Source organism: Homo sapiens, chromosome 17, assembly GCF_000001405.40.
Source record: "Homo sapiens chromosome 17, GRCh38.p14 Primary Assembly".
NCBI classification, from domain to species: domain Eukaryota; kingdom Metazoa; phylum Chordata; class Mammalia; order Primates; family Hominidae; genus Homo; species Homo sapiens.
Window position 1 is genome coordinate 3887765 of NC_000017.11, and position 8486 is coordinate 3896250.

Sequence of the window (8486 nt, forward strand, 5' to 3'; positions counted from 1 at the left end):
TCGGGGAGAGCTTGGAAACCAGACAGCATAGGAAGGAGGAAGCCAAAGCTGGGAACACCCTCCAGGACCCGCCAGGCTCCTCCCAGCAGGTGGCCCACCCCTCCGCCCCTTCCCCTCACTCCGCATGCCTTGTTTTTCCCTCCCGAATGTAAGTTTCATGAGATTAGGACGCTCATCTGCCTTGTCTCCAAAAGATCATCAGTGCCTGGCATGTGATAGGAACTCGATAAATATTTGTTGAATAAATGAGTGGTTGCCATAGTGATCGTTACAGCCCTGTCCCCATTAGACAGATGAGAAAGCAGCCTCAGAGAGGCAACCCCAGCAAGCCTCAGGCCCCAGCACATATAACAGAATGAACTCCAGAGTCAGGAGCTCCTGCTTTTTGGCCCTAGGCAGGGACTACGGGACTCAGAGCCGCCACAGGCAGAAGCCACAGGCTGCCCGGGCCCATAAAATTTGCGTATTTCCTTGAGGTTGCCATTCCAGCAAGAGGCCATCCTCCTTTACCCTTGAACACCTTTCCCTGCTTTTCTTAGATAGGTAGAGGGAGGCCCAGCGGGTGGGGATGGGCCCGGGGTCACCCAGCAAGTCGGGGCAGAAGGTTTCCTGTTCCAGCCTGAGCCCTGTTACCCGGTTTGGCGCCCAGGCTCTGAAGCCAGGCAGCCAGGCTGCACCCTTTCCTGGCTGGGAGCCCGTGAGCAGGTGGCTTCGCCTCTGTGCCTTGGGTTTTCCTCGCCCGCAAGATGGGGTTCTAGCGGGCCTCACCTCACCGCACGTGGTGAGATGCTGAGGAGGGAACGCCCGTAAGGCGCTCAGAACAGTGCCTGCCACTAAGGAGGCCGTAAAAGTGAGTTGTTGTTGTGCGGCTGCTGTTGTGATTGCTCGGGACACGCTGAGGCCCAGATGGATGCGCGGGCGGGCGGAAGGCGGCCGCGAGGGCTGACGTCAGGCTCCCCATCCCTCCCTCCCGCCTGGATCAAATTCAGGTGACTAAGCGCGTCTGCGAGGGAGGCGGCCGGCCGGGGAGGCCCGAGGTTCCTGCCGCGTGTCCGGGAGACAGGGCCTGGCGCCCCGGCCGCGTGTGTGAGGGCGTGTGTCCCCACAGGAGGGAATATGTGTGCGCAGGCTGTGGACCAGGGTGGTGGCGTGTGTGTGTGTGTGTGTGTGTTGTGGGTCCCCACACAGGAGCGCACTGCATGGAGATGAAAACCTCGGTGTGATGTGTGTGTGCGCAGGTGTGTTTATGCGCCTGTGTGCCTGCAGGTCTCCGTGTACCTATGCCCAGGGTAGGGGGGTGGTCCGCGCCCCTGGGGGCCCTGGGAGCCTGATCCCAGAGCTCATATCTGGACTTTTCCCCATAGTCACTGGTCCCACCAGCCTGGCACTGCCTGCTGGGCTGGATTCTGTGCCCCGGGCGGAAACCCAGGCCCATCTGGAGGCTCACACAGGGGGTGTCTCAAGGCCCTTCCCAAGCTCAGGCCTTAGTAGATACTCTGTAGAAACTTAATTCGGTGGATAACTAGGGCCATGTGGGCAAACAGAAAGATGGACAGACAGGCCGGGAACCAGGCCCATGGTACAGCGAAGGATTCCTGTGGGCATGGGCACTGGCTTAGTCCTGCGGCCGTGAACAGCCAGACTCAAGCCCTCCCTCATTGGGAAAAACTACTGCAATCCTGTCCCCCCAGACTGGGGATCTGCTGCCTCGGACAAGTCATCGAGCCTCTTGGAGCCTCTGTTTCCTAACACGTGCATCAAGCAGAAGGCCACTGTCCTGCCAACTCCCAGGGCGATGGAAGGAACAGAATGAGGTGTGGACACAGGAGTAGTTTGTGCCACAGCACTGTGGGGCTGGGATGTGGCTGTGTCTAGAAGCGTCCAAGAGAGCCTTGATGTGCAAGGTCCAACCCCACCTCTGCCCCCAGCTCCAAGATGGCCTGGCACATATCCCCCACCCAGGTTTTTCCTCCCAGGCTGTGCCCCACCCCCCAAGCGTCTGGCCACTCCCAAGGAATGTGGGCCCCCGGCTCCAGACGCCCACTTGGCCTGGCTTCTTCCACAGGACATGCCCCATCCAGCTGCATCCCTCAAAGGAGCCCCAGAGCAGGCAGACCCTGCTGCCATCCACGCGGGTTCAAGTAGCTCCACCTGGGAGCTGGTCAGGCCCTGGTCAGGCCTCATTCTGAGCGCTGGAAGGCCGCTGTGAACCCCAGTGCCAAGCCGAGGCAGGGGACCAGCTACATCCAGGCGAGGGGATGGACAGCCGTGACCAGCAGAGGACCGAACAGAAGGGAAAGCCGCAGAGGTGGCGGCCACCCAGGCCAGACACAGAAGGTGGTCCTCCCATGCCTGGGCCGCCTCACTGGAGCTGTGTTTATGATCCTGGCGAGTATCTGGATGGCCCTGGCAACGGGTGCCCTCCGCAGCTCCCGCCCCCACCCGGGATGACTCAGTCCCCTTGAGGGAGGCCCAGGCGTCTGGTGCCAAGTCATGCTTGACGACTCCTGCTGTGAGGACGCCCGCTCCCACCATCCCTGGGGAGCCCCCAAGCACCAATACGGGCTGTTGCCTGACTCAGCACAGCTACCCCCAGCGCATCGTCCTGGCCCACCCACGGAGGCTGATGGTCTCCAGGCCTCATCCTCTGCCCCTCCTCATCCTCCACACCAGGTCTGTGCCTCCAGCCCCACTCTTTCCAGCTAGCTGCCACCTCCCCGTCCATGTTCCCGAGCAGCTCAGATCCAACAGGCCCCAGATTCAACTCAGCATCTTCCCCAAACCTGCTCGTCCTCCTCTGTCTCCATTGCGAGACGGGTACCACACCCTCCCCATTCTTTCCTGACCCAGGTCAGCAATCCGGGAGCCCTCCTTGTCACTCGTCCTTTCCCTGTTGCCCACCCTTGCTCCCCACAACCCCACACTTACTCTCCACTGCAGCCACACCACAGCTTCCCAAATTGCATACTCTGTTCTGCTGCCAGGCCTCAGTACAAGCTGTGCCTTCTGCCAGGAACACACCTCCCTCTCCTCTGCTGCCTGGAGGACAGCTCAGACATCGCCTCTTCTGAGCCCTCCTTGATCTCCCCACTACCTGCTGGGTGAGCTCACCAAGTCAAACCCCTTAGAAGTCCAGATTCTACCCACTGCTTCGTTTCCCACTATGTGGGTCTTCCCTGACTCCAGGCTAACACCTCCACCCCACCCTACCCCATCCTCCACACCAGCTGCTGGAGGGATTTCCAACATGCAAATGTGGTTATAGTTCTCCCAGACCTGGCCTTCCAGGAACTCGGAATGTCATGGATAGAGGAGCAGAAGTGGCCTCAGACTGGGGGCAAGGTTGGGGGGGGGGTCACAGGCTAGGGAGCAGCCAGGGACATGGACGCCTGGGATGCAAGCACAAATAGTCACGGAGCACCTGCTGTCTGCCAGACTCTGTGCAAGCCTGTGTGGGGAGATACAGCAGTGAACCAAAAAGACCAAGTCTCTGCTCTCATACAGTTTAATTTCTCGTGGGGGCAAGAAGCAACAAACAAGAAAGCCAGTGATTCAGATATGATATGTCAAGTGGTACATATAGGAAGAAAAATACAGCCGAGTAAGAAGGATCAAGAGAAAGGGGCTGGGAGATGCTGCTGATACAGTGTAGTTGAGGAAGGCCTTTTGGGAGCAGGACTGGAGCAGACACCTGAAGGAAGGAAGGGGCAGTAGGCAGTGTAGTTATCTGGGGAAGAGCATTTCAGGTGCAGGGACCAGCAGGTGCAAACGCCATGAGGGGACAGTGCTTGCTCAGTATGAAGAACAGCAGGGAGGCTGACGTGGCTGGAGTGGAGTCTTCCCCACATAAGAGGCACCTGATAGCAAGAGGAGTTACATCTGGAGAGAAAGCCCCCTCACTCATTGTGCTGGCCTCAGGGATGGCTTCCTAGAGGAGGTGGCACCTGAGCTCTCTTCTGAGCACTGAGCAGGATTTCAGGATGAGGCGAGGATGGAAGTTTGCACTGTGCATATAGGAGAGTCATTTCCTGGCTGGGACTCCGGGCTTGGTTTGGGGGTGGGGAGAGCTTGGTGGACAGAGCCCAGGAGGCCCCCAAAGCCAGGGGGAGGTTGTGAGCAGGGGAGTGCCTCGGTTAGGTGAGGTTTAAAACGACTCCCATGGCTGCTGTGAGGACTGACGGTGGGAGACCGAGGAAGAGGCGAAGGGTCCCCAGAGTGTGTGCGCCTGGGACGCAGTGGGGGGTCAATTTGTATGTACTGGAGGAAAGAGGGCAGGGCTTGGGGAGGCCAGCGCCACTTCCCTGGGATCCTCCAGCGCGCACAGGCTGTGTGCCCCTCCCACACTCCTGTGCCCGCCCTGCGGACACCACCAAGGCCCGGTCCTGTGGCCTGTGACACAGCCTTCTCTGCACAGCCCTGCAACGCCAAGACTTGAGCACACCCCCTCCCCTGACAGGCACACGCCCGTGTCCGCGTGACCCGCCCTCACACACCACTCCATCCTGTCCTGCACCCCCCACGCAGACACAGGCACACTCCCGCGTCCACGTGACACACGCACACCCGCCTCCAAACAGCACACGCAGGTCCCTGCGCACGTGGACACCCCCCCAGCCACCAGCCCTGCGCCTCCCGGGCCCCGAAGCCGCAGCGCCCGCCTCTGCCGCCCCCTCTCGCCCCAGCCAAGGCAGGACCCTGCGCAGCCTGAGCCGCGCGCCGCCGCCGCCCCATTCATCTCCCACCCCGCCCCCGGCTCCTGCAGGAAGACGCTCCGGCGGGCCGTGGGAGGAGCGCTCCGCGGAGAACCGCACGTGGGTGCCCCGGGCCGGGCCCACTCCGCACAGACGTGGCCTCCACCAGGAGCCGGGCGCGGGGGACAGTGCACCGGGGATGGATGCGGTCCGCAGACAGAAGCGGGGAAGAACGCAGACGGCGGGGCACCCGCGGCGATGCGGTCCCGGCGGCCGGCGCAGACCCGAGCAGACTCCGCGAGGCACCCCGCAGACCCGGCCCCGCAGACAGAAGGGGAAGGATCCCCGCCCTGACCAGATCCCAGCTCCCTCGTAGACGCGGCCTGGCAGACCCCCCCCGCCTCTCCCTTGCAGGCTCGGGGCAGGTGTTAAGGCGTTCGTCCTCCTGCTCCTCGCCCGCGTCCCCGCCCCGCCGATCCCTACCTGGGCGCCGGGCGACAGTGTCCGCGGCCCGGCGGGCGGCCCCACTCGCTCCTGCTGCGCGCCCCGCCCCGCCCCGCCCCGCCCCACCGCCTCGCTGGGGCCCAGATCGCCGAGCTCAGCCCGCGGGCGCCGCGGCTCCGGGCAGCGCTCGCTGCCCCGCCCACCGCCGCGCCCGGCCGGCGCTCATTGGTCGGAGCGAACGGCCCCGCCAGCGCCGCCCAATCGGAGCCCGGGACTCCCGCCCCCTCCTGGACTAAGGGACCGCGGTGGGCGGCGCGGTAGGGGCCCTCCCTCCCCTGCGGCGGGGCCGACCTCGCCACGCCCCCGGCGTCCTGGGGTCCCCGAAGTCCCTCCCGGCCGCGGCGTGGGCCCTTCTCCTGGGCCTGCAGGGGACCGTGCTTCCCCGCCAAACCCTTTGCGCCCCCATCCCGGCCTGCAGGAGCCAGAGCGCCCCTCCCTCCCGGGCGAGGCGCGGTGCGTGCGAGGGAGGGGCGAGGCCCGGGGAGGAAGGCCTTGAATGGCAGGCCCAGGAGTGTAGCTTCTGCGGGGCGGGGGCAGAGAGGCCGAGAGGTGGCTTAGCACAGAGTGAAGTGCTTGCTCGGTGAGCCGGCGACAGGAATGGCCTAGCGAGGGCCGAGGGAGTAGAGGGAACTCAGCAGGACAGTGAGGTGACCTTCGCTGTGGCTGTTCCTGGGGACTCTGCCGCCACCTCTTCCCCTAACGCCTCCGCGTGTGAATCCTCTGGCACCACCACTTGCCCCATATCCTTCCCCCAAATCTAACCTCCTGCGTCCCTGTCTCGAAGTGGAGCCAGGAGCCTGGGAGTCACCTGCTGCCTCCCTGTTTCCTGCTCCAACCAGTCCATCTCCAGGCCCTGCCATACTGCCTCTTAACTATCCCTGGAATCGGCCCACTCCTCTCCACCCCACTTCCCCTCCCTTAGCTCAGGCTACCACCATCTTGTCCCTGATTGCTGCAGCAGCCTCCTCCCTGGCCTCCAGCCCCATCCAGTCTCACCTCCTACTAGCCTTTCTCTCCCTGGCACCCAGAGCAAGTTTTCAGGAACACAAGTCCACCGAGAGGCATTTTCTATGGCTCACCGTGAGAATAGGTCTAATCAAGCCCTGTATAGCCTTACTCCCAGCCACCTGCCTGTTTAACGCCTACTCGTCTTTCAGGGTTCAATTCAATCCTACTTCTGCCTGGAAACCTTCTCCATGACCTCCCCACTTCCAGCATGGGTTAGTGGCCCCACCCAGGTACTTCCTTGTACCTGGCATCTGTTTACCTGCTGGTTCCTCATTGGGACTGGGAGCTCCTGGATGGCAAGCACTGTGCCTGATTCGTCCAGCACACAGCCTGTCGCATGGCACAGGTGCTCAGTGGATGTTGTTGAATGAATAATTCCAGCAACTTGAGTGTGGCTTTTGACCTCATGGTTCAGGATACCAGCTAGAGCTCCAGCAATCACATAACGCATTCCAGGCAGTGGAGTGGAGAAAAGGATGAAGAAGAGGGCAGAGGGTCTGCACCAGCTCTCTTTTCAGGAAAGTTCCCAGAAGTTGCCACGTGGCACTTTCACATACACCGCTTGAGCTTACTTAACATGACCAGACCCAGCTGCAAGAGAAAGCTGGGAAATGCAGCTTCCATTCTGGGCAGCCACATGCCCAACCAAGAACCAAGGACTGAATTGCTACCGGGAGAACAGATATCCGGAACAACTAGTGGACTCCACCATTGAGAGGGTGGATAGATTGAGGGGCAGAGCTCGACTGTATGCCAGGTGCTGTTTACAGGTCTTTCCTCAACCCTACTAAAAGCTATTATTGTCCGGGTGCAGTAGCTCATGCCGGTAATCCCAGCCCTTTGGAAGGCTGAGGTGGAGCGTATCATTTGAGCCCAGGAGTTTGAGAACAGCCTGGTCCACATAGTGAAACTCTGTCTCTATTTAAAAAAAAAAAAAAAAAGAAGTTGTTATTATCCTTGACTCACAGAGGAGGCTTGGAGAGTTAAGCCACTTCCCCCAAGGACACACAGTGAACTGTGGCAGAGCTGCAATTGAAACCTGTCTTTTCCTTGCACGCCAGACAGGCTGGGAAGTCAGGAAAGGGTGTGTCCTAGGAGCTGCTGGAAGGAAATCTTTCGACAAGGAAGGCTTGGACAACAATGTGAGAAGCTGTCAGGCCAAGCAGGATATGGGGCCCAAGTGTCTGCTTAAGACTTGGCAACCAGGACACTGCCAGTGACCTTGGCAAGGGCACCTAGGAGAAGTGGTTGGGGTGGAGGCCAATTGCAGAGGGAAGTGTGGACTGGTCTTTCTGGAAGGGTTGCAGTGAGGGGAGAGGGGCAGAGCTGCTGGGGAACCTGGGCCAGGAGGAGGCAGAAGAGGGGGACAGATGTAGGGGTAGGAGAATGGAGGTGGCTTCTGCTGGGCAGCCTCTGGGCTGGGTGGTGAGGCTGAATACAGAGGAGGGACCCTTTTCTGCTCACTTGGAAGGGAAGGGGGCAGAAAGTGCAAAAGCAGGTGTGTCTGGAGAAAGAAGGGGGGGCAGAAGAGGAAGTTCCAGTCTTATAAAATCTAAATGATAGGTCTTGGTTGGGGAAGAGGGCAGAAGGCCAAGGCCCTGAGGGAGATGGCAGGGGCTGGCCTGTGTTGTCCAGTCTGGTAGCCACTAGTCACATGTAACTATTTAAATTAATTAAAAGTAAATTGGGCAGTCATGGTGGCTCCCGCCTGTAATCCCAGCACTTTGGAAGGCCGAGGCAGGCGGATCACCTGAGGTCAGGAGTTTGAGACCAGCCTGGCCAACCAACATGGTGAAACCCCATCTCTACTAAAAATACAAAAAAAAATTAGCAAGGCGTGGTGGTGGGCACCTGTAATCCTAGCTACTTGGGAGGCTGAGGCAGGAGAATTGCTTGAGCTCAGGGGCTGGAGGCTGCAGTGAGCCGAGATCGTGCCACTGCACTCCAGCCTGGGCGACAGAGCAAAATTCCGTCTCAAAAAAAAAATATTGATTAATTAATTAAAAGTAAATAAAATACGAATTTCATTTCCTTGGCTGCATATTTCCACCGAGGCCACCTGTGGCTTCTGGGTACCCTATTGGACAGCATAGATAGAGAATATTTCCATCATTCCAGAAGGTTCTATGGGACGGCACTGGTCTAGACAGAGCATGGTGACTGGGTGGGGGATGCTGCCCAGAGATCCTACCTGGCTGTAAATCCAGGCCTGAGGTCATGCCCACAGCAGGGCCCTCCACACAGCCTCAGTCAAGTCCCTCCTCCCCTCTTTGGGATTCCGCC

General features: G+C 60.1%; 1 protein-coding gene across 3 annotated transcripts in view, besides 5 other annotated features; it reads right to left on the reverse strand.

The window, feature by feature from the left end:
• CAMKK1 (calcium/calmodulin dependent protein kinase kinase 1) overlaps nt 1-5289 on the reverse strand; it is a 32739-nt gene extending 27450 nt beyond the window's left edge. For 2 of the 3 annotated variants that reach the window (NM_032294.3, NM_172207.3), the window contains exon 1: nt 5175-5289. Coding sequence is in view for 1 of the 3 variants with exons in the window: in NM_172206.2 (NP_757343.2) it covers nt 2929-2966 (38 nt within the window). In the remaining 2 variants the exon portion in view is untranslated. Of the gene's footprint in view, nt 1-2928; nt 2980-5174 lie in introns of those variants that run through there. The other variant, NM_172206.2, reaches the window with a different exon arrangement.
• Nucleotides 309-828: an enhancer, noted in NCBI's record as "H3K27ac-H3K4me1 hESC enhancer chr17:3791367-3791886 (GRCh37/hg19 assembly coordinates)". NCBI's record gives its function as "activates a minimal SCP1, AML or CMV promoter by ChIP-STARR-seq in naive H9 embryonic stem cells {active_cell/tissue: H9 hESC(naive)}" and the evidence as "EXISTENCE:reporter gene assay evidence [ECO:0000049][PMID:30033119]".
• Nucleotides 829-1350: an enhancer, noted in NCBI's record as "H3K27ac-H3K4me1 hESC enhancer chr17:3791887-3792408 (GRCh37/hg19 assembly coordinates)". NCBI's record gives its function as "activates a minimal SCP1, AML or CMV promoter by ChIP-STARR-seq in naive H9 embryonic stem cells {active_cell/tissue: H9 hESC(naive)}" and the evidence as "EXISTENCE:reporter gene assay evidence [ECO:0000049][PMID:30033119]".
• Nucleotides 4596-4845: a silencer, noted in NCBI's record as "silent region_8022". NCBI's record gives its function as "represses an Ori minimal core promoter by ATAC-STARR-seq in GM12878 lymphoblastoid cells {active_cell/tissue: GM12878}" and the evidence as "EXISTENCE:reporter gene assay evidence [ECO:0000049][PMID:35858748]".
• Nucleotides 4986-5165: a silencer, noted in NCBI's record as "silent region_8023". NCBI's record gives its function as "represses an Ori minimal core promoter by ATAC-STARR-seq in GM12878 lymphoblastoid cells {active_cell/tissue: GM12878}" and the evidence as "EXISTENCE:reporter gene assay evidence [ECO:0000049][PMID:35858748]".
• Nucleotides 5196-5735: a silencer, noted in NCBI's record as "silent region_8024". NCBI's record gives its function as "represses an Ori minimal core promoter by ATAC-STARR-seq in GM12878 lymphoblastoid cells {active_cell/tissue: GM12878}" and the evidence as "EXISTENCE:reporter gene assay evidence [ECO:0000049][PMID:35858748]".